The sequence below is a fragment of the Homo sapiens genome, chromosome 8, assembly GCF_000001405.40.
Source record: "Homo sapiens chromosome 8, GRCh38.p14 Primary Assembly".
Classification (NCBI taxonomy): domain Eukaryota; kingdom Metazoa; phylum Chordata; class Mammalia; order Primates; family Hominidae; genus Homo; species Homo sapiens.
In genome coordinates this window covers 90,483,424-90,509,059 of record NC_000008.11, presented here as the reverse complement: position 1 = coordinate 90,509,059, position 25,636 = coordinate 90,483,424, and the positions used below count along the sequence as shown (strand labels likewise).

General features: G+C 37.3%; 2 long non-coding RNA genes across 3 annotated transcripts in view; both read left to right on the top strand.

Moving 5' to 3' along the window:
* The window catches only part of LOC124901975 (uncharacterized), a 267,232-nt gene that overhangs the window by 53,281 nt on the left and 188,315 nt on the right, over positions 1-25,636 (top strand). The window lies entirely within an intron of this gene.
* LOC107986955 (uncharacterized) lies at positions 2,427-4,795 on the top strand. Its single transcript, XR_001745994.2, has 3 exons — positions 2,427-2,798; positions 3,500-3,657; positions 4,566-4,795. It is a non-coding gene; the product is annotated as an uncharacterized LOC107986955 (long non-coding RNA).

The following is a 25,636-nucleotide window of genomic DNA, read 5'->3' as shown; positions in this document are numbered from 1 at the left end:
AATATACTTTCATGTAAGTCTTTTCTGATCTGCTTTCTGAACGGCTACCATCTTCCTATCCATGGCTAATTAAACTTCTGGTGCCTGCCCTGCTTCTGAGCCTCTCTCACCTCTCAGTAGACATCTGTCCATAATGTATTCCTTTCCTCTCTTTTATTTTTACCATTTCTCTCTTTACTGGCTTATTGGACAGGTGAAATGTTTGTCTTAACTATTTTTCAAACAAAGGGAGGAAAATGAGAGGAAGTGAAGTGGGTGGAAACGGCAAGGAGCAGGAACAGAAGGTCTCCATTTCCCTAATGACCAGGCCCTTCAGCGCTGAAACATAGCGTCCTTATCTTCAGGTTGTTTTTCCTTTGAGCATTCTTCCCTACTAACCTCATTTAATTAATAACTGCTCATTCTTCGAGACTCAGGCCAAGACACTTCTTTCAGGAAGTCTTCTGTGGTATTTCCAGATTACGTTAGGCACCCTTCTTCTGTGTTCACATAATAATTATCCTAAGATAGTTAGCAAATTGAATATAAGAATTGCATCCTTCATGACTGTATCCTTGTGTGGATAAGCACTCAATACCTACTTGTTTGCTGAATGGTTAGATTATTCCCATATGGCTTGATTTCGAAATATTGCAAAATTGTATTCTAAGAAAAAGCATATATCTGAACTCTACCAGTGTTCATTTCTAGGTTCCATTTAGAAAACTTCAACTTTTTAATAAAGATTTTATATCATGTTTTTAATGCAAGAATATAGTGTTCCTGTTATTAAATACTCACATATATAGAAAAGTATTTTTTAAAAAGTCATCTTTCATATCCCTGTCTTCTTCATTTTCATTCTCCAAAATAAACCATTGTTAACAATCTTTTTAAGCATACATAAATAAATAGAATTTAGTTTTAAATATGAACAAAGACCACTTTGGAGTTTTCTTTTCTTTTCTTTTTTTAACAAACAGTATTTTCTTTAAAAAAAGAAAAAGAAAAAAAGTGCTGTTACCTATTACTCCACATCTACTGCATCTTTAATCACTGCCTAGCTACCAGCTATGAGGGCAGACTTCATGTAGCGGAGACAAAGGACAACACATGCATTTTCCTGGGGTAATGGTATTAAGGAAGAACACAGAATGAAATAAATTAGGATATGAAAGAGGTGGCTTAAAGCAGAGCTTCTTAACCTCATCACTATTTATATTTTGGACCAAAATAAATCATTAAAACATTAATCAAGCAAACAAACAAAAGTTCTGTGGCCTAAATATGTCACTTTTCTCTGGGCTTTAATTTTATTTAACATGACTGGCCAGATTAATTTCTAAGATTCTCTATAATTACAGAATTCCAATCAAGGAGAATTTAAAAAGAGTACCATAAATACGAGATCAATAAGTTATTTCCACCTATGAAATGGGAGTAGATTTTCTGCCTCAGAAGATTAATATAAAGAAAAAAATAATACAATATATATGACCCAGTGACTTGATAAATATGAAGCACTGTCACTGTTACATCTTGTGTTGGGTTATTCTTACTATAATTCTTCCTTTGTAGTAACTTTGCACATTAAGATTACAAATGAGTTAGTAGAGTTAAGATGTTTTAATAGCCTTAAGTAACTACATCATGTAAATAATACATAATTATTACTACAATTAAGACTTACAATGCTATTTTTAGATTTGTTACCCAAGTTTACAAGCACTTCTTCCAGAAAAATTATAAACATATATTTTAACTGCAATTAACCTTGAAGGATAGAGCCGGCCTATATTGTTCCCAAATGACAAGGGAATTGCCTCAAACATTAATATTTGATAGCTTTTTACACTAACAAAGCTAGCTCAAAATTCTATTCAATTTGCTGGAACTATCTAGAACAAAGTAATAAAATAAAATTTTCCTTTATTTAGATGGGGAGAAAAAAGTTATTAGAGAAAGCATCAAAAAAGCGAAAATGATATTTTTATCCATATATGGACACAAATGGTCACCCAATGATAGAGGCACTCCACACAACTTGCAATGTTGTGAAACCATGCTCTCCCTTCTTCTAAATACTGCTGTATTAGTCAGGGTTCTCTAGGGGGACCGAACTAATAGGATAGATGTATATATAAAGGGGAGTTTATTAAAGAGTATTGACTCGGACAATCACAAGGTGAAATCCCACAATAGTCTGCAAGCTGAGGAGCAAGGAAGCCAGTCTGAGTCCCAAAGCTGAAGAACTTGGAGTCCAATGTTCCAGGGCAGGAAGCATTCAGCCGGGGAGAAAGATGTAGTCCAGAAGACTAAACCAGTCCAGTCTTTCCATGTTCTTCTGTCTGCTTGTATTCTGGCCATGCTGGCAGCTAATCAGATTGTGCCCACCCAGGTTGAGGGTGGGAATACCTTTCCCAGTCCACTGACTCAAATGTTAATCTTTTTGGGAACACCCTCACAGATACACCCAGGAACAATACTTTGCATCCTTCAATCCAATCCAGTTGACACTCGATATTAACCACCAGAACCCCCAAATAAGCATTTGCCTGTCCTTGCTAAATCCTACCCTTTCCCTCTTGCCTTCCAGATGCATTTGTTTCTCTTTCTTTAATTTCTCTGTGCTCTGTTCCTGGTAAATCTCTTAAATCATCTCAAACTTCTCAATTCTCTTCCCTCATCCCACAGCTCCCAGTTTATTTATGATAGTTGCAGACACATATGGAGAACAGTGTGCTGCCTCTCAGACCCAAGTCTAAATTCACTGGAGAGAGAATCTGTTTGACTCAACATGGGACAGTTATCCACCACTGGTCAGTCTCATCCCTATTTTCCGAGGGACAAGATCACTCAGCATGTACACAGCTTCTGGATTTTAACCTCCAAGGAGCTGGTATATATAAAGGGGAGTTTATTAAGGAGTATGGACTCGGACAATCACAAGGTGAAATCCCACAATAGTCTGCAAGCTGAGGAGCAAGGAAGGGGAGAACAATTTACAGAGAAAGAGGACTGTAAGAACACCTTAGAAAGCATTATCCATATAAAATGCAACAAGATAAAGTAGAAAATATAAAAGTTCACTGTAAACTTTCTAAATCAAATGCTATTTAGAAGGAAGATAATACTATTGTTCTAAATGAAGACATGACGAGAATAGCTGTTATTATTAGGCTTCTGTCAATTACATTTCCAAAGACAGTAATTGATTCTTTTTACAAAAAAATTACTGTCAGAACATTTCTTTATTGGCTTTGATGAAAAATAAGTAAAAATTATCAAGCTCTGTGTGTGGTTCATGGGAATTAATAACATTAAATCTGCCCTCAAGGAGCTTATGGTCCAATTAGAAATAATTATAGGCTAACAGTGGCTACGTGTTCAACGTGTATTTATTAAGCATCATTTATGCCTATCTAATATATATAATATACATATTTTTTAATCTCCCACTAAAATATAAGGCTCATAAAATCAGATGGTTTGTCTCTTTTGTTCACTTTTATGTCATCAGTGCCTAGAACAGTATCTGGTACAAATTAGACACTCAAAAACTTTTGATACGTGAGTGGATGGATGAGTCTTCTGTGAGCTTGGCACTGTGGTATGTGCTGGGATATTATGAATAAAATGACAGGAATTTTGCCTTCAAGGAGCTTGCAATATAACAAGGTAAAGAAACATTAAGCCAATATATTTATAAGTATATAATTAAAGCAATGTGATAGGAAAGAGTGTACAATTCTACCTGAGCTTTGAGTAACAGCATATTCAGAAATGCACAGAGAAGAGATACAGCCTGAGCCGTCTTCAAAGATGACCAATAATTGCTTAGGCAAAGATAAAATTCCCCCTATCTGGGGAAATAGTTTTATCACAGAAAGGAAGCAGCATGCATAAAGGCTTAGGGTTTTAAATATCCAGGTAGGTTCACAAAACTGTAAGACATTTGAGGTGTGGGAAGTAAACAAAGATGAAATAGCTCAGTGTTAAGAGAAACCACAAGTGGTCTAGGGAGACTGGAATGGAAGGTGCTGGGTGGGCAAGATCAGGTCAAGCCCAGCTTTAGGCTGTTTCCCAAAGGCAATGAAGAGTTTTAAGCAAGTGAGCTCTAGAAAGACCACTTCATTTATATTTTTATGTAACATACAAATAAAGGAACATTATATAAGCCAGATATGGAAAGTCTAAAATCTGAAATTAGAGGAGGAATGGCAAGGATACTGGTTAGAAAAAATGGTTAGAATAGAAAGGAGAAACACAAAGTGTTTAGATTTTTCATAGACGAAAATTTGCAGAATCTACTTCACTTAAAATATAGTAAATTGGGTTTCATTTTTATTTTTCTGAACTATGAACCTGTGGAATATAGAGTTGGTTTATAGCTGTACTGGAAATACTCTACCTTTACCTGAGGGGAATCCTGGGTACTTGATTTATGACTCTTGGCCAAGATAAAAACAGTGCTGTTTAAGGTATATGCTGTTTAAAATTCTAAGCTCCCTTGGTTGACCCTCGGGGTCAGAATATTTACCAGTGGCTTACAATTGGCATAACCTGATCTGTTCATATGCCCATAGGAGCATAGAACCACCAATGGGAACTCCTGCTTTGAGCTCTCCTGAAGCCTGGATTCTTTACAGAGATCTTGATGATTCAGTCTGGAGACAGAGCGTGATCAGATCCTTTTGTGACTAATGACACTGGGAACTTGCTCATGGGATGCCAGTCGGACCCCTAATGATTCCTGCCCTTTCTTTCTCTTGAGGCATTGTATCCATTGCCTTTGAATAAAAACTGTACATGACTATGCTCTGTGCAGTGTGGTGAGTTCTTTCAAATATCTGAACTAAGGCATTTTTTTGACTCTGACAGAGAGAGAGATGCTTTTACTGTCCTTCCCATTTCTAATAGTCTTTTAACAGCATATTTTAGAATTTTAAGGAAAAGATAAGTCTATTAAAATATACCCTTTAAATTTTAGTAATTTTTAAAAAGTGAACTTTAAAAAACACAGTAAACAAACATAATTAAATTCTAGAATTTCATAATTCAATTTGGCCCCTTAAATAAAACATATTACAGAACATATTTAACTACCTAGAATATTTTTTCTTCTGTTCTAGGACTAAAGCTGCATTTTTTGAGGCAATGAATCCTCCACAACTTAAATATAGTGTAGGTGGCTTTAGCAAATAATTTCTATTTTTGATATCCATGTTTTTACTTTATAGGAGTTAATTCATTTTAGGTGTGGCATAATGTCTGATAGGCTGTGGGTCCCTGTGTAATGCATGGTTAGAGGAAAACAACTTTGAGGAGTCAAAATTCAACTAGATATATATTCTTTTGAAAACAGAAAAAGGAAATTAGGAGTTCTTCTTGGTGGCTCTGTACTCTGGTTTCACATAAATATCACCTGAGGATGGGTTCTCGAAACAGGGCCAGGCAGGCTCAGTCCCCAGAGTCTGACTGAATCATTTGTTCGTGGGTGTGACCTGTATATGTGTATATATATTTTTAAAGTTCATCAATTACTTTATGTGTAGCAAGGGTTGAGAACTATGGAGCTAGAGGAAGTGAAGTAACTGAACAGTTAGCTCCCCAACACCGTATCTCTTTTTTTTTTTTTTTTTTTTTTTTTTTTGAGACGGAGTCTCGCTCTGTCGCCCAGGCCGGAGGACTGCGGACTGCAGTGGCGCAATCTCGGCTCACTGCAAGCTCCGCCTCCCGGGTTCACGCCATTCTCCTGCCTCAGCCTCCCGAGTAGCTGGGACTACAGGCGCCCGCCACCACGCCCGGCTAATTTTTTGTATTTTTAGTAGAGACGGGGTTTCACCTTGTTAGCCAGGATGGTCTCGATCTCCTGACCCCCAACACCGTATCTCAAGCATGAGGTGACATATGGGATGGCCGCTCCTTAGAGTCTGATGTTCCTGGGATTACAAAGATATGAGGACTAGCATGATGCCTGTCTGACAGGAAATAAAGAGGTTATCTTGACATGATTGTATTTTGAAACCATTTGAATTGATCCATTAGTTATTTCCCCAGCTTTTGTCTGATAGTCATACAATTTAAATTTACTTTAGCATTCTTAAAAATTACCTTACAATGGGAGTTTTCAAACTGTGTTCTGTGGAACCCTGGAACTCCTGGTGGTGTCTCAGGGATCATTTTAGGGATTGGGTAGGATAGCAGGAAGTCTGTGGGTCCCCTCCACTTCAACCAGAGCAGCTGGGCTCTATACTTGTGCGTGTGTTTATGTGTGATAGGTAGGTAGGTAGGTAGATAGATTCTTTCCTTTGGAAAAAAGGAGGCCTTGAAACTGCAGAAAATATTTAAAAACATGGTGTTATAAAACAAATGTTTGTGTACCCCTAAAATCCTTATGTTGAAATTCCAACCTCCAATGTGATAATATTAGGAAATGATACCTTTGGGAGGTGATGAGGTTATGAGGGTAGAGGTCGTGTAAATGGGATTAGTGCATCATAGAAGAGAGAGGAGCTCTCTTTTGCTCTTTCTTTCTCTTCTCTGCTATGTGAAGATGCAATGAGGAGATGGCTATCTGAAAACCAGGAAGTGGGACCTCACCAGACACCGGGTCTGTAGGCACCTTTACCTTGGACTTCCCCGCCTCCAGAACCGTGAGAAATAAATGCTCGTTATTTAAGTCACCAAGTCTATTGTAATTTCTTATAGCGGCCTGAACTAACACATATGGTTTTAGAATAATTGTAATAGGTCAATAAAGTCATGCTCTCCAATAGCTGGTATTTACTTGTCTCTTCAAAGACTCAAATATTTAACGTACTAACTCTTGAGCTGGTGGTAGATAGGAAAAAGAGAAACCCTTCTTTGGTATAAGTATGCTAGCAAATAATTGTCCAAGCCTTTTCTTTATTAGAAAGATGACCACTAATATCTTCTAGAAGAAAATAAATAAATATATATATATATATCTGTGGATGGATACACACACACACACAAACACACACACCAGAAAGTATTAACACTGGTTGATTATATGTATAAATATATGTATATTTGTATAGCAGAAAGTAGTAAAAGTGTTCATGCAACAAAAGATAAAAAAACACTCAATAAGAGTAGAAATTGTTAGTTCTGAAGAAAAACAGCAGCAGCTAAGAAAAAAAAAACCCTTAGGATTACTAAAATTTCCACTGTAAAAAGAATGTTGACCACTCAGTAGAGTAAAAATCAAAATCATTTGTCACAGGGCTGGAGAGGAAATAAGTGAAAATGAGAACAAATAGCCGAAAGATCCAGCAAGCCCCCACAGTGAGCGTTTGGACTGGGAGCTACCTGTTAGTTGAGGAGATGATGATGAGCCCCCCAAGGGGACTCTAGTGGGTTTCTTTGCCTCCAGTGAAAATAAGAAGGGAAAAATGGGAAGTAGCAGGCGGTAAAAGATACATTAAAGAAATATTAAACTGATGAGCTGGTTAAATAGTAGACAGGGCATATATAAAGTATATTTTAATGGATGGAAATGTACTAAAATGCTGAAAATTGCTGCCACCTCCTGGAGATTGTTTTTACAACTTCATGTTGCCATGGTCACTTCTATTCTGTGAAATAGACATTTCCATTAAATAGAATAATGAATAAACAGGGCTGGTTTTGCAGTGCTTGCTGACAATGCTGATATTTAAAAAGAAAAAAAATGAGTCTCTCCCAAGATCAGATAACAGATATCAGCTATTTTCAACAGAGCCAGTCAGGAAATAACACAATAAATGTCTCATTAATTACAGAAGGAAAACGAAACACACTTATGAACAGGTTTAAAAAGGTTCATACAGCTAAGGAAAGGTTGAAAAGACTATGCAAATAATCTTGAAATAAATATTGACAAAAAACTTGAAAAGAGCTTAGAAATAGGTGAAAATCTTAGCAGCTAAGAAAAATTGCTGTCTGAAAATCTGATGTGGTTGTTTCTTGAAACTTCGTGGAATGTTTTACTGTTCAAAAAAAAAAAAAGTAACCACAACAACAAAATATTCATGCATTTAAATATTCATGCTGTTGCTTACACTATTTATTCAAACCTGTCTGTTAAAAATCATCTCCTACACTGAGTTACACAATTTATGTTTCATAAAAAGTTAGAACATAGAAACTTTACTAAAGCTTCTAGTTTTTTGGCAATGATGCATGAAGGCTTCCATTTTTTTCCTGTCTAATTGGAGGACCCACGTAAGGAGGTAAATCATCTGAAAAAAGCAAGGAAGATTTTCTTCAAGAAAACCCAGCTGGCTATACAGAGAAGGCTGGGAGCTAGCCAACAGACTACAAGGCAGTTATTCAGATGTGTGCTGGTACTAATGTGGAGAGAATTCTGCCAGCTGCCTGTTTAATATTTGCTGATTGTTAAATATCAGATATTAAATACACACACACACACACACACACATGCACTTTTCCCCAAAATCATTTGATTCCATTATATACTTCCTTACATATTAAATTATATTTTCTTCATTCAAAGGAAACAAAAATTATTATATTAATTTACTATTACACTAATTTTTCTTCATCTTTTATCCTTTCCTTTCTTTTTATTATTATTATTTTTTTGAGATAGAGTCTCGCTCTGTCACCCAGGCTGGAGTGCAGTAGCACTGTCTTGGCTCACTGCAACCTCCGCCTCCTGGGTTCAAGCGATTCTCCTTCCCTAGCCTCTTGAGTAGCTGGGATTACAGGCCTGCACCACCATGCCCAGCTAATTTTTGTATTTTCAGTAGAGACGGGGTTTCACCATGTTGGCCAGGCTGGTCTCAATCTCCTGACCTCAGGTGATCCACCCTCCTCGGCCTCTCAAAGTTTTGAGATTATAGGCATGAGCCACTGCGCCTTTCCTTTCTTTTCAAGCATACCATTGCAAAGGCAAACTCATGGCTTGATCCCCTTCTCCAAAACTCCTGGGGAAACATGCCCTCTGGAAGGAGAAAAGAGAGACAATTTTCTCTCTACATTCTCAATTTTTTTCTTTTATCTTTTTTTTTTTTTTTTTGAGATGGAGTTTTGCTCTTGTTGCCCAGCAGTGGTGTGATCTTGGCTCACTGCAATCTCCGCCTCCTGGGTTCAAGCGATTCTCCTGCCTTGGCCTCCTGAGTAGCTGGGATTATAGGCGCACTCACCACCACACCCAGCTATTTTTTTGTATTTTTAGTAGAGATGGGGTTTCATCATGTTGGCCAGGCTGGTCTCGAACTCCTGACCTCAGGTGATCTACCTGCCTCGGCCTCCCAAAGTCCAGGGATTACAGGTGTAAGCCACCATGCCCGGGCACATTCTCATTTTTTTTAATGGAGAAATCTTAAATAGGATGATGGGAAATATAATTTTCTTAATTTGCGTTTTATGGTCAGTTTTATCTTTATTTTCTAGCTTCAAAGAATGAAAATATTTTTAAAGAAAACCTACTGATCACATTAGTCCCATGAAAACAATCTATTTGTAGATGAAGGGGTGTTTAGTTTGAATGCATGCGAGATAAAGTAAGTGGGAAGGAAATTCTGTCCCTTTAGGTTTCTCCATAAAGCCTGTTTTTACCATTTTATTTCATAAATAAAAGGCCTATTTTATTCTGTTGATTTTCTAATGACTTAAAAAAATCATGAGGGTAAACATCTATAATCCAACCAAATGGTTTAGAAATAGGTAATAGTATTATGCAAATAATTGTAGTGAAACATTTTTTCATCCAATTATTTGCACAATTGCATGATCATTTTCTTAATATATTGTAAGCCTTACAACTTAAAGAATGAGAATGAAAATACAGGTATATTTTCAACATGCTGATTTCAATTCCTTTGGATATATACCCAGAAGTAGGGTTGCTAAATTATATGGTAGGTATATATATATTTTTATTTTCGGGGAATCTCTACCCAGTTTTCTCTAATGGCTTTACCAATGAACATTTCTACCAACAGTGTAAAAGGGTTCTTTTTTCCATATCCTTGCCAACAGTTGTTACCTTTTGTCTTTTTTATAGCAGCCATTCTAATAGGTGTGAAGTGATATCTCATTGTGGTTTTGATTTGCATTTTTCTGACATAAATGTTACAACATTTTTTCATACACCTGCTGGCCATTTGTACTTCTTTTGGGAAATGTCTATTTTTGTCCTTTGATTTTCGAATCAGGTGATTCTCTTTCTTGCTATTGAGTTGTTTGCGTTCCTTATATATTTGGGATATTGACCCTTTATCAGGTACATTATTTGCAGATATATTTCTCCCATTCTGTAGATTGTCTCTGCCTTCTGCTGATTGTTTCCTTTGCCTTGAGGAGCTTTTTAGTTTGACGCAGTCTCATTTGTCTGTTTGCTTTTGTTGTCCGTGCTTTCGGTGTTACAGCCAAGAAATCGTTGCCCAGATCAATGTCAATAGATTTTTTCCCTATGTTTTCTTCTAGTTTTAGACTTAAGTTCTGGGACTTATGTTGTATTCACAATAGCCAAGATATGGAAATAACCCAGGTGTCCATCGATGAATGAATGGAAAAGGAAAATGTGGTGTGTGTGTGTATATATATACACGATGGAACATTGCTCAGCCTTAAAAAAGGAAATCCTGTCATTTGTCATGGAATTTTTTAATTTTCCTTAAAAAAGGAAATCCTGTCATGGAGGAACCTGAGGAACATTTAGTGAAATAAGCCAAGCATGAAAAGACAAATACTGCGTGATCTCATTTTATGTAAAATCTAAAAAAGATGAACTCACAGAAGCAGAAAGTAGAATGGTGGTTACTAGGGGCTGCAGATGGGTTGTTGGAAAGATGTTGGGAGAGGGTACAAAGTTTAAGTTAGACAGGAGGAACACATTCTGCAGATCTAATGTACAGCATGGTGACGACAGTTAATAATACTGTATTATATACTTGAAATTTGTTAAGTGAGCAGATTTTTAAATTGTATTTTTTATTTTAATTTTGGAGATTAAATGCTAGTTTGTAGCAAAATAATTTTTTAAATTTCAATAGCTTTAGGGTTACAAGTGTTTTTTGGTTACATGTATGAATTGTCCAGTCTTTTTGATATAATGACTTATTTTCCTGTGGGTAGATACCCACTAGTAGGATTGCTGGGTCAAATGGTATATCTACTATTAGTTATTTGAGACATCTCCTCTTTTCCACAGAGGTGGTATTAATACACATTCTTACCAACAGTGTGTAAGTGTTCTCTTTCTACCACATCTGCACCATCTATTGTTTTTTGACTTTTTAATAATGACTATTCTGATTGGGGTACGGTGGTACCTCATTGTGTTTTTTGTTTGTTTGTTTTTGAGATGGAGTCTCACTTTGTTACCCAAGCTGGAGTGCAGTGGGGCTATGGAGAATTGCTTGAATCAGGTCCAAGCAATGTTCAAGCGATTCTCCTCCCTCAGCCTCCCAAGTAGCTGGGATTATAGGCTTGTGCCACCATTCCCAGCTAATTTTTTTTTTTTTGGTGTGAATAGTAATTATAATTAACCCTTTCTAAAAGAAAAGGTAAATGTAATAGTACATAATAGAGTAACAATTGTAACTCAAGTCTTTTTTTTTTCATTTTTACTCAAAAGCATAAACCGGAGACAATATGTTATACCAGATTAACATGCAACTTAAAAAGAGGTTAATGTACATATTAAGCATGGAAATTCACCAGTAAAACCTTATTTGTCATTTTACCCCAACTACCTTGACATTATTCTTCCATTTCATAATCAACAAGGTTCTACTTGTGGTCAACTGTAGAACGCCTTGCATTCCTGGAGCTTGACATTTCAGTCAATTATGGACACAAGAACATTGTTACAAGTATAATGAAAAAACACATCTACAAAACAGCTGACTGCACTGCTTTCAAAGGAAAGATCCCCAGTCCAACCTGCCCACTCCCTCCCTTTTCTCAGCACAAACATAAATATCCCCCAGTCATTTATGAATCTGTGTTGTCAAAAAGGTCCTGAAGCATTATTTCCCTAGACACCTAACACATCAGCACTGACCAAATAAAAACCACCCAAGCACTCTAAAATTCTCACTTTTTCAAACATTCCTTGTGTGTAAAATTTTCTTAGCACACAGAGAAACACAAGTTCACAAAATGATAAAAAGATGAGACAAAATTTCTGCCTCTCCTTGAATGCAAATCTTGAGTCAAAACCTATTGTTTTGGAAATTCAAATACAAGAAACCTAAGGTTTTCTTATTTGCTTGTCAGTATGCATAGAGTCCAATGGATGGGGAGGGGACGGGGGAAGGTGTTACACAAAGAGACTAGGTGGAACCCATTTTTATCTAGGCTTCTCTAGGACAATATGATAAACAAGAAAGATTAATATCTACAAGAAGAATTTGTCATTTAAAATCAATAAGTAAAATGTATTTTAAGTGCAAATTAAAATGGTTAGTATACATTTCACTCATCTCTAGCAACCAAGAGAGCCCTCATTAGACATAGCTGCCTCCTCAATGATGTATCTTGGACATTAGCCTAAAAAAAATCTTTAAAAGTGCTTTGCAGGTATCACCTCATCTCATGGAAACATAGAGGGATGTAAGAAAAGGCTACTCCAATCTAAAGGACTATTTTCAAGCAAAAATAGAGGAATTCTGTGTATCATCAATGAAAGAAGTTTAGGGGAAGGGTATAGTACATATTACAATAATTTAAAATCATATGCACATTTCACTTTCCATGCACGATGATTTTAACACGAAACAATGTAATTATACATCACTGAAAATACAATCAAGCTTTGCCCCACTCTACAGTCTGTTAACAGAAACCCTGGAGAATATATGATAAATGTATTCAGATTCTATTAGTTTGATTTGTAAGCAGAATCTAACAAAGAGGAGGAATTTGGGCACATATACACATGCACAAATGAAATGGCTCAACATCTAAATGATATGACACAAAATTACCACTAACTATGAGAATCAAGAGGCTACTCTTATGCAAGCAACAAACTTTTACTTATGATTTCAAGCATACAGTTTAATTTTCTGTTAAAACTGTTTTAAAAAAACAGTAGTAGGGTTCAGTTTTCTAGTCTCGGCATGAACTAATGCCAGGGACATATTTGTATTAGAAAAGAGACAAAATGGTGTGACTCATGCTTCATTACATCATGGTTTGTTGAGGATTAGGTGGATATCTTCAATTTCAAGACTTTTTATTCAGGCCAGGTGCAGTAGCTCACACCTGTAATCCCAGCACTTTGGGAGGCCGAGGTGGGAGGATTACGAAGTCAGGAGATTGAGACCATCCTGGCTAACATGGTGAAACCCCGTGTCTACTAAAAATACAAAAAATTAGCCGGGCGTGGTGGCAGGCGCCTGCAGTCCCAGCTACTTGGGAGGCTGAGGCAGGACAATGGCGTGAACCCAGGAGGCAGAGGTTGCAGTGAGCTGAGATTGCGCCACTTCACTCCAGCCTGGGCGACAAAGTGAGACTCTGTCTAAAAAACAACAACAACAACAACAAAAAAGACTTTTTATTCAAATAAAGCACAAATTGTGACAGAAACCCTCTAGGCTGTGTCATCAGTTAAGACAAGCCATACAATACCATAGAAAATACATATAATTTATTAGATGGGCTTAAAATCAACAAATCCATTTTTAGGCACTTCTTGAGTACAGATTTGGGAATTTTCTACCAAAGAATGGGATATCTACTAAAGTTTACATCTTTATGCTGTTGCCTCCCAGCTAATTTTTTATGTTTTTAGTAGAGATGGGGTTTCCCCATGTTGACGAGACTGGTCTCAAACTCCTGATCTCTAGCAATCTACCCATCTCGGCCTCCCTAAGTACTGGGATTACAGGTATGAGCCACTGCACCCTACCTCATTGTGTTTTTAATTTGCATTCCCCTGGTGATGAGTGATGTTGAACATTTTTTTCATATATTTATTGGCCATTTGTATATCTTCTTTTGAAAAATGTCTGTTCATGTCATTTGCCCACTTCTTAATGGGATTATTCTTTTTTTTTCTTGCTGATTTATTTGAGTACCTTGTAGATTCTGGATGTTAGTTGTTTGTCAGATGCATAGTTTGGGAATAATTGTTCCCATTCTGCAGGTAGTTTATTTACTCTGTTGATTATTTCTTTTGCTGTGGAGGAGCTTTTTAGTTTGATTAAGAACTAGTTCTTTATTTTTGTTTGTCTTGCATTTGCCTTTAGGGTCTAACTCATTAATTCTTTGCCTAAGCCAATGTCCAGAAGAGTTTTTCCTAGGTTTTTTTTCTACAAATTTTGTGGTTTCACATCTTAAATGTAAGTCTTTAATCCATCTGGAGTTAATTTTTCTATATGGTGAGAGACAGGGATCCAGTTTTATTCTTCTAAGACAGTAGATCTTAAATATTCTCACCACACACACACACATACACACACCACATACGGTAACAAAATGAGGTGATCGATATGTTAATTATGGTACTCATTTAATCGTATATGGATATATCAAAATATTACATTTTATGACTTAAATCTATACAATTTAATTTGTCAATTATACTTTAATAAAGCTGAGGAAAAAAGAATGATAATGATTTATATTAAGAATTTGTTATTTATCAGTGTGAAACTATGTGCAAGGCATAAAAGACATTATTGTCTGTACACTAAGATTCCTGGGAAATTTGGTCAAGTCTCCAGAAAGAAAGATATGTTCCTGTTGGAGAGGTCACAATGGAGAGGGCAATGACCTTCGTACCAGGACAATTGGTTAACTGGAAGGACAAGTATTTCCTTGCCTAGAGAATGCTGGACTTTTCTGGGATATTTTTACCCCAGAAAATTTCAATAGGTTTTTGAGGATCAGGTGGTGTTTGGTTACATAAATAAATTCTTTAGTGGTGATTTCTGAGATTTTGGTGCACCCATTATCTGAGCAGTATACACTGTACCCAGTATGTAGTCTTTTATCCCTTACTCCCCTCCTACCCTTTCCTCAAGTCCCCAAGTTTATCATTTGTTTGCCTTTGCATCCTCACAACTTAGCTCCCACTTTTTAGTGAGAACATATGATTTTTGGTTTTCCATTCCTGAGTTACTTAGAATAATGGTCTCCAATTCCATCCAGGTTGCTCCAAATGCCATTATTTCACTCCTTTTTATGGATGAGTAGTATTCCATGGTATGTATATATACCACATTTTCTTTATGTACTTGATGACTGATAGGCGTTTGGGCTGGTTCTATATTTTGCAATTGCAAATTTTGCTGCTATAAACATGTGTGTGCAGGTATCTTTTTTGTATAATGACCCCTTTTCCTCTGGGTAGATACCCAGGAGTAGGATTGGGAAAAGTAGATGAAATGGTAGATCTACTTTTAGTTATTTAAGGAACCTCCACACTGTTTTCCATAGTGGTTATACTAGTTTACATTCCCACCTACAGTGTAAAATTGTTCCTTTTTCACCACATCCATGCCTACATCTATTATTTTTAAATTTTTTTATTATGGCCATTCTTGCAGGAGTAAGGTAGTATTGCAATGTGGTTTTGATTTGGATTTCCCTGATAATTAGTGATGTTGAGCATTTTTTTCAGGTTTGCTAGCAATCTGTGTATCTTCTTTTGAGAACTGTCATTCATGTCCTTAGCCCACTTTTTGACAGGATTGTTTGTTTTTATCTTGCTAATTTGTTTGTGTTCCTTGTAGATTCTGGATATTCGTCCTTTGTTGGATGTGTAGATTGTGAAGATCTTATCCCACTCGGTGGTTGTCTGTTTACTCTGCTGATTATTTCTTTGGCTGTACAAAAGCTTTTAAGTTTAATCAGGTTCCATCTATTTATCTTTGTTTTTGTTGCATTTGCTTTTGGATTCTTGGTCATGAAGTCTTTGCCTAAGCCAATGTCTAGAAGGGTTTTTCCAATGTTATTTTCTAGAATTGTTATGGTTTCATGTCTTAGATTTAATTTTTTGATCCATCTTGAGTTTATTTTTGAATAAGGTGAGAGATGAGGATCCAGTTAAATTCTTTTACATGTGGCTTGCCTATTATCCCAGCACCATTTGTTGAATAGGGTGTCCTTTCCCCACTTTATGTTTCTGTTTGCTTTGTCGAAGAACAGTTTACTATAAGTATTTGGCTTTACTTCTGGGTTCTCTATTCTGTTTCGTTGGTCTATATGCCTGTTTTTATACCAATACCGTGCTGTTTTGGTCACTACGGCCTTGTAGAATAGTTTAAAGTAGGGTAATATAACGCCTCCAGATTTGTTCTTTTTGCTTAGGCTTACTTTGGCTATGCAGGAACTTTTTTGGTTTCATATGAATTTTAGGATTTTTTTTTCTAGTTTTGTGAACAATGATGGTGGTATTTTGATGGGAATTGCATTGAATTTGTAGACTGCTTTTGAAAGTATGGTCATTTTCACAATATTCATCCTCCCCATCTCTGAGCATGGGATGTGTTTTCATTTGTGTCATCTATGATTTATTTCAGCAGTGTTTTGTAGTTTTCCTTGTAGAAGTCATTCACCTCCCTGGTTAGGTCTATTTCTAAGTTTTGTTTTGGTTTGGTTTGGTTTTCTGCAGCTATTGTAAAACGGATTGAGTTCTTGATTTGATTCTCAGCTTGGTCACTGTTGGTGTATAGCAGGGCTACTGATTTGTGTACATTAATTTTGTATCCTGAAACTTTGCTGAATCATTTATCAGTTCTAGGAGCTTTTTGAATGACTCTTTAGGGTTTTCTAGTTATACAATTATATCATTAGCAAATGGCAACAGTTTGAATTCCTCTTTACAGATCTGGATGCTCTTGATTTCTTTCTCTTGTCCAATTGCTCTGGCTAGGACTTCTAGTACTGTGTTGCATAGAAGTGATGAAAGTGGGCATCTTTGGCTCTGTTCCAAGATGGCTGAATAGGAAAAGCTCTGGTCTGCAGCTCGCAGCGTGATCAACACAGAAGATGGGTGATTTCTGCATTTGCAACTGAGGTACCTGGTTCATTTCACTGGGACTGGTTGGACAGTGGGTGCAGCCCATGGAGGGTGAGTTGAAGCAGGGCAGGGTGTTGCCTTACCCAGGAAGTGCAAGGGATCAGGGATTTCCTTTTCCTAGCCAAGGGAAGCTGTAACAGACTGTACCTGGAAAAATGGGACACTTCTGCCAAACACTGTGCTTTTCCCAAGGTCTTAGCAACTGACAGACAAGGAGATTCTCTCCTGTGCCTGGCTTAGCAGGTCCCACGCCCACGGATCCTTGCTCACTGCTAGCAGAGCAGTCTGAGATCGAACTTCGAGGTGGCAGCCTGGCTGGGGGAGGGCCATCCACCATTGCTGAGGCTTGAGTAGGTAAACAAAGTGGCCAGGAAGCTCGAACATGGCGGAGCTCACTGCAGCTCAGCAAGGCCTACTGCCTATATAGACTCCACCTCTGTGGGCAGAGCATAGACGAACAAAAGGCAGCAGACAACTTCTGCAGACTTAAACGTCCCTGTCTGACAGCTCCAAAGAGAGCTGTGGTTCTCCTAGCGTGGTGTTTGAGCTCTGAGAACAGACAGACTGCCTACTCAAGTGAGTCCCTGAACCCTGAGTAGCCTAACTGGGAGGCACCCCCCAGTAGGGGCAGACTGACACCTCACATGGCCAGGTACCCCTCTGAGACAAAGCTGCCAGAGGAAGGATCAGGAAGCAATATTTGATGTTCTGCAATATTTGCTGTTCTGCAGCCTCTGCTGGTGATACCCAAGCAAACAGGATCTGGAGTGGACCTCCAGCAAACTCCAACAGACCTGCAGCTGAGGGACCTGACTGTTAGAATGAAAACTAACAAACAGAAAGGAATAGCATCAACATCAACCAAAAGGACATCTACGCCAAAACACCATCTGTAGGTCACCATCATCAAAGATCAAAGTTAGATAAAAACCACAAAGATGGGGAGAAACCAGAACAGAAAAGCTGAAAATTCTCAAAACCAGAGCACCTCTTCTCCTCCAAAGGATCACAGCTCCTTGCCAGCAATGGAACAAAACTGGATGGAGAATGACATTAATGAGTTGACAGAAGTAAGCTTCAGAAGGTTGGTAATAACAAACTTCTCTGAGCTAAAGGAGCGTGTTCGAACTCATTGCAAGGGAGCTACAAACCTTGAAAAAAGGTTAGATGAATGGCTAACTAGAATAAACAGTGTAGAGAAGACCTTAAATGACCTGATGGAGCTGAAAACCATGGCATGAGAACTTCGTGACACATGCACAAGCTTCAATAGCCGATTCGATCAAGTGGAAGAAAGGGTATCAGTGATTGAAGATCAAATTAATGAAATAAAGTGAGAAGACAAGTTTAGAGAAAAGAGTAAAAAGAAATGAACAAAGCCTCCAAGAAATATGGGACTATGTGAAAAAACCAAATCTACGTTTGATTGGTTTACTGAAAGTGATGAGGAGAATGGAAACAAATTGGAAAACACTCTGCAGGACATTATCCAGGAGAACTTCCCCAACCTAGCAAGACAGGCCAACATTCAAATTCAGGAAATACAGAGAACACCACAAAGATACTCCTCAAGAAGAGCAACCCTAAGACACATAATTGTCAGATTCATCAAAGTTGAAATGAAGGAAAAATGGTAAGGGCAGCCAGAGAGTAAGGTCAGGTTACCCACAAAGGGAAGCCCATAAGACTAACAATGGATCTCTCAGCAGAAACCCTAGAAGCCAAAAGAGAGTGGGGGCCAATATTCAACATTCTTAAAGAAAAGAATTTTCAACCCAGAATTTCATATCCAGCCAAACTAAGCTTCATAAGTGAAGGAGAAACAAAATCCTTTACAGACAAGCAAATGCTGAGAGATTTTGTCACCACCAGGTCTGCCTTACAAGAGCTCCTGAAGGAAGCACTAAACATGGAAAGAAACAGCCAGTACCAGCCACTTCAAAAAATGCCAAATTGTAAAAATCGTCGATGCTATGAAGAAACTGCATCAATTAATGGGCAAAATAACCAGCTAACATCATAATGACAGGACCAGATTGACACATAACAATATTAACCTTAAATGTAAATGGGCTAAATGGCCCAATTAAAAGACACAGACTGGCAAATTGGATGAACAGTCAAGACCCATCAGTGTGCTGTATTGAGGAGAACCATCTCATGTGCAGAGACACACATGGGCTCAAAATAAAGGGATGAAGGAAGATCTACCAAGCAAATGGAAAACAAAAAAAAGCAGGGGTTGCAATCCTAGTCTTTGGTAAAACAGACTTTTAAACCAACAAAGATCAAAAGAGACAAAGAAGGCCATTACATAATGGTAAAGGGATCAATTCAACAAGAAGAGCTAACTATCCTAAATATATATGCACCCATTACAGGAGCACCCAGATTCATAAAGCAACTCCTTAGAGACCTACAAAGCGACTTAGACACCCACACAATAATAATGGGAGATTTTAACACCCCACTGTCAATATTAGGTTTATCAATGAGACAAAAGGTTAGCAAAGATATCTAGGACTTGAACTCAGCTCTGCACCAAGCAGACCTAAGAGACATCTACAGAAATCTCCACCCTAAGTCAACAGAATATACATTGTTCTCGGCACCACATTGCACTTACTCTAAAATTGACCATATAATTGGAAGTAAAACACTCCTCAGCAAATATAAAAGAACAGAAATCACAACAAATTGTCTCTCAGACCACAGTGCAATCAAATTAGAACTCAGGATTAAGAAACTTACTCAAAACCACACAACTACATGGGAACTGAACAATCTGCTCCTGAATGACTACTGGGTAAATAACGAAATGAAGTCAGAAATAAAGATGTTCTTTGAAACTAATGAGAACAAAGACACAACATAGCACAATCTCTGGGACACATTCAAAGCAGTGTGTAGAGGAAAATTTATAGCACTAAATGCCCACAAGAGAAAGCAGGAGAGATCTAAAATCCACACCCTAACATCACAGTTAAAAGAACTAGAGAAGCAAAAGCAAACAAATTCAAAAGCTAGCAGAAGGCAAGAAATAACTAAGATCAGAGCAGAACTGAAAGAGATAGAGACACAAAAAACACTTCAAAAAAATCAGTGAATCCAGGAGCTGTTTTTTTGAAAAGATCAACAAAATTGATAGACCACTAGCAAGACTAATAAAGAAGAAAAGAGAGAAGAATCAAACAGATGCAATAAAAAATAATAAAGGGGATATCACCACTGATCCCACAGAAATATAAACTACCATCAGAGAATACTATAAACACCTCTATGCAAATAAACTAGAAAATCTAGAAGAAATGGATAAATTCCTGGTCACATATACCCTCCCAAGACTAAACCAGGAAGAAGCTGAATCTCTGAGTAGACCAATAACAGGCTCTGAAATTTAGGCAGCAATTAATAGCCTACCAACCAAAACAAGTCCAGGACCAGAAGCATTCACAGCTGAATTCTACCAGAGGTACAAAGAGGAGCTCGTACTATTCCTTCTGAAACTATTCCAATCCATAGAAAAAGAAGGAATCCTCCCTAACTCATTTTATGAGGCCAGCATCATCCTGATACCAAAGCCTGACAGAGACACAACAAAAAAAAGATAATTTTAGACCAATATCTCTGAGGAACATCGATGCAAAAATCCTCAATAAAATACTGGCAAACTGAATCCAGAGCACATCAAAAAGCTTATCCACCAAGATCAAGTCGACTTCATCTTTGGGATGCAAAGCTGTTTCAACTTAACACAAATCAAAAAACATAATCCATCACATAAACAGAACCAATGACAAAAACCACATGATTATCTCAATAGATGCAGAAAAGGCCTTTGATAAAATTCAACAGCCCTTCATGCTAAAAACTCTCAATAAACTAGGTATTCATGGAACTTATCTCAAAATAATAAGAGCTATTCATGACAAACCCACAGCCAATATCATACTGAATGGGTACAAGCAGGAAGCACTCCCTTTGAAAACTGGCACAAGGCAACGATGCCCTCTTTCACCACTCCTATTCAACATAGTGTTGGAAGTTCTGGCCTGGACAATCAGGCAAGAGAAAGAAATAAACGGTATTCAATTAGGAAAAGAGGAAGTCAAATTGTCCCTGTTTGCAGATGACATGATTGTATATTAAGAAAACCCCATTGTCTCAGCCCAAAATCTCCTTAAGCTGATAAGCAACTTCAGCAAAGTCTCAGGATACAAAATCAATGTGCAAAATTCACAAGTATTCCTATACACCAGTAACAGACAAACAAAGAGCCAAATCATGAGTGAACTCCCATTTACAATTGCTACAAAGAGAATAAAATACCTAGGAATGCAACTTACAAGGGATGGGAAGGACCTCTTCAAGGAGAGCTACAAACTACTGCTCAACGAAATAAAAGAGGACACAAACAAATGGAAGAACATTCCATGCTAATGGATAGGAAGAATCAATATCATGAAAATGGTCATACTGCTCAAGGTAATTTATAGATTTAATGCCATCCCCATCAAGCTACCAATGACTTTCTTCACAGAATTGGAAAAAACTACTTTAAAGTTCATATGGAACCAAAAAAGAGCCTGCATTGCCAAGACAATCCTAAGCAAAAAGAACAAAGCTGGATGCATCATGCTACCTGACTTCAAACTATACTACAAGGCTACAGTAACCAAAACAGCATGGTACTGGTACCAAAACAGATATGTAGACCAATGGAACAGATCAGTGGTCCCAGAAATAACACCACACATCTACAACCATCTGATCTTTCACAAACCTGACAAAAACAAGAAATGGGAAAAGGAATCCCTATTTAATCAATGGTGCTGGGAAAACTGGCTAGCCATATGTAGAAAGCTGAATCTGGATCCCTTCCTTATACCTTATACAAAAATTAATTCAAGATGGTATTAGACCTAAATTAAATATTAGACCTAAATTAAATGGTATGGTATTAGATAGTATTAGACCTAAATTAAATATTAGACCTAAAACCATAAAAACTCTAGAAGAAAACATAGACAATACCATTCAGGACATAGGCATGGGCAAGGACTTCATGACTAAAATACCAAAAGCAATGGCAACAAAAGCCAAAATAGACAAATGGGATCTAATTAAACTAAAGAGCTACTGCACAGCAAAAGAACCTACCATCAGAGTGAACTGGCAACCTAAAAAATGGGAGAAAATTTTTGCAATCTACCCATCTGACAAAGGGCTAATATCCAGAATCTACAAAGAGCTCAAACAAATTTACAAGAAAAAAATAACCCCATCAAAAAGTGGGCAAAGGACATGAACAGACACTTCTCAAAAGAAGACATTTGTACAGCCAACAGACACGTGAAAAAATGCTCATTACTGGTCATCAGAGAAATGCAAATCAAAACCACTATGAGATACCATCTCACACCAGTTAGATTGACAATCATTAAAAAGTCAGGAAACAACAGATGCTGGAGAGGATGTGGAGAAATAGGAACACTTTTACGCTGTTGGTGGGAGTGTAAATTAGTTCAACCATTGTGGAAGACAGTGTGGCAATTCCTCAAGGATCTAGAACTAGAAATACTACTTGACTCAGCAATCCCATTACTGGGTATATACCCAAGGATTATAAATCATGCTACTATAAAGACACATGCACACGTATGTTTATTGCAGCCCTATTCACGATAGCAAAGACTTGGAACCAACCCAAATGTCCATCAGTGATAGACCGGATTAAGAAAATGTGGCACATATAACACCATGGAATACTATGCAGCCATAAAAAAGGATGCGTTCATCTCCTTTGCAGGGACATGGATGAAGCTGGGAACCATCATTCTCAGCAAACTATCATAAGGACTGAAAACCAAACACCGCATGTTCTCCCTTATACGTGGGAATTGAACAATGAGAATCCTTGACACAGGGCGAGGAACATCACACACCAGGGCCTGTTGGGGGGTGGGGAGCTGGGGGAGGGATAGCATTAGGATAGATACCTAATGTAAGTGACCAGTTGCTAGGTGCAGCAAACCAACATGGCACATGTATACCTATGTATCAAACTTGCATGTTGTGTACATGTACCCTAAAACTTAAAGTATGATAATAATAATAATAAAGAAAGTGGGCATCTTTGTCTTGTTACAGTTCTCAAGGGGAATGCTTTCATCTTTTCCCCGTTTAGTATAATGTTGGCTGTGGGTTTGTTATAGATGGCATTTATTACCTTAAGTTATGTCCTTTCTATGCTGATTCTGCTGATGGTTTTAATCATAGAAGGATGCTGGATTTTGTCAAATGCTTTTTCTGCATCTATTAAGATGATCATCTGATTTTTGTTTTTAATTCTGTTTATGTGGTGTATCTTATTGACTTGCATATGTTAAACCATCCCTGCATCCCTGGTTTGAAACGTACTTGATCATGATGGATTATCTTTTTGATATGCTGTTCAATTCACTTAGCTAGTAATTTGTTGAGGATTTTTGCACCTATGTTCACCAGGGATATTTGTCTGTAGTTTTCTTTTTCTCTTATGTCCTTTCCCGGTTTTGGTGTTAGGGTGATACTGGTTTCATCAAATAATTTAGGGAGGAATCCCTCTTTCTATATCTTTTGGAAGAGTGGCAATAGGATTGGTACCAATTCTTCTCTGGATGTCTGATGGAATTTAGCTGTGAATCCGTCTGGTCCTGGACTATTTTCTGTTGGTAACTTTTTAATTACCATTTCAATCTCACTGCTTGTTATTGGTCTGTTCAGAGTGTCTATTTCTTCCTGGCTTAATTTAGGAGAGTTGTGCATTTCCAGGAATTTATCCATCTCCTCTAGGTTTTCTAGTTTATGCACATAAAGCTGTTCATAGTAGCTTTGAATGATCTTTGGTATTTCTGTGGTAGCAGCTGTAATATCTCCCTTTTTTTTCTAATTGAGCTTATTTGGATCTTCTCTCTTCTTTTCTTGGTTAATTTAGCTAGTGGTCTATCAGTTTTATTTATCTTTTCCAAGGACCAGCTTTTTTGTTTCATTTATCTTTTGTATTTGTTTTTGTTTCAATTTCATTTAGTTCTGCTCTGATCTTGGTTATTTCTTTTCTTCTGCTGTGCTTGGGTTTGGTTTGTTCTTGTTTCTCTAGTTCCTTGAGGTGTGACATTAGATTGTCTATTTGTGATCTTTCAGACTTTTTGATGTAGGCATGAAATATGCTATGAACTTTCCTCTTAGCACTGCCTTGCTGTATCCCAGAGGTTTTGATAAGTTGTGTCACTATTATCATTCAGCTCAAAGAATTTTTTAATTTTCATCTTGATTTCATTGTTGACCCAGTGATCATTCAGGAGCAGGTTATTTAATTTCCATGTATTTGCTTGGTTTTGAGGGTGCCTTTTGGAGTTGATTTCCAATTTTATTCCACTGAGGTCTGAGAGTACTTGCTATAATTTCGATTTTCTTAAATTTGTTGAGACTTGTTTTGTAGCCTATAACATGGTCTATCTTGGAAAATGTTTCATGTGCTGTTGAATAGAACGCATATTCTGCAGTCGTTGGGTAGAATGTTCTGTTTATATCTGTTAAGTCCATTTGTTGTAGGGTGTAATTTAAGTCCATTGTTTTCTTGTTGACTTTTTCTCTCTTGATGACCTGTCTAGTGCTGTCAGTGGAGTATTGAAGTTCCCCACTATTATTGTGTTGCTGTCTATCTCATTTCTTAGGTCTAGTAGTAATTTTTTTATAAATTTGTGAGCTCCAGTGTTAGGTACATCTGTATTTAGAATTGTGATATTTTCCTGTTGGATGAGTTCTTTTATCATTATATAATATTCCTCTTTGTCTTTTTAAACTGCTTTTGCCTTAAAGTTTGTTTTATCTGATATAAGAATAGCGACTCCTGCCTGCTTTTGGTGTCCATTCGCATGAAATATCTTTTCCACCACTTTACCTTAAGTTTATGTGAGTCCTTATGTATTAAGTGAGTCTCTTGAAGACAGCATATACTTGGTTGGTTAATTCTTATCCATTCTGCCATTCTGTATCTTTTAAGTGGAACATGCAGACCATTTATATTCAATGTTAGTATTGAGATGTGAGGTACTATTATTCTATTAATCATACTATTTGTTGCCTGACTACCTTGGCTTTTTTTCATTGTGTTGTTGTTTTATAGGGCCTGTGAGATTTACGCTCTAGGGAGATTCTATTTTGTTGTATTTCAAAGCTTTGTTTTAAGATTTATAGTTCCTTTCAGCAGTACTTGTGGTGCTGGCTTGGTAGTGGCAAATTCTCTCAGCATTTGTTGGTCAGAAAAAGACTGTCTTTCCTTCATTTATGAAGCCTAGTTTTTCCAGATCCAAAATTCTTGGCTGATAATTGTAAATCAAAAACACAATGAGATATCATCTCATGCCAGTTAGAATGGTGATCGTTAAAAAGTCAGGTAACAACCGATGCTGGAGAGGATGTAGAGAAATAGGAACACTTTTACACTGTTGGTGGCAGTGTAAATTAGTTCAACCAATGTGGAAGACAATGTGGCAATTCCTCAAGGATCTAGAACCAGAAATACCATTTGACCCGGCAATCCCATTACTGGGTATATACCCAAAGGATTATAAATCATTCTACTATAAAGACACATGCACACGTATG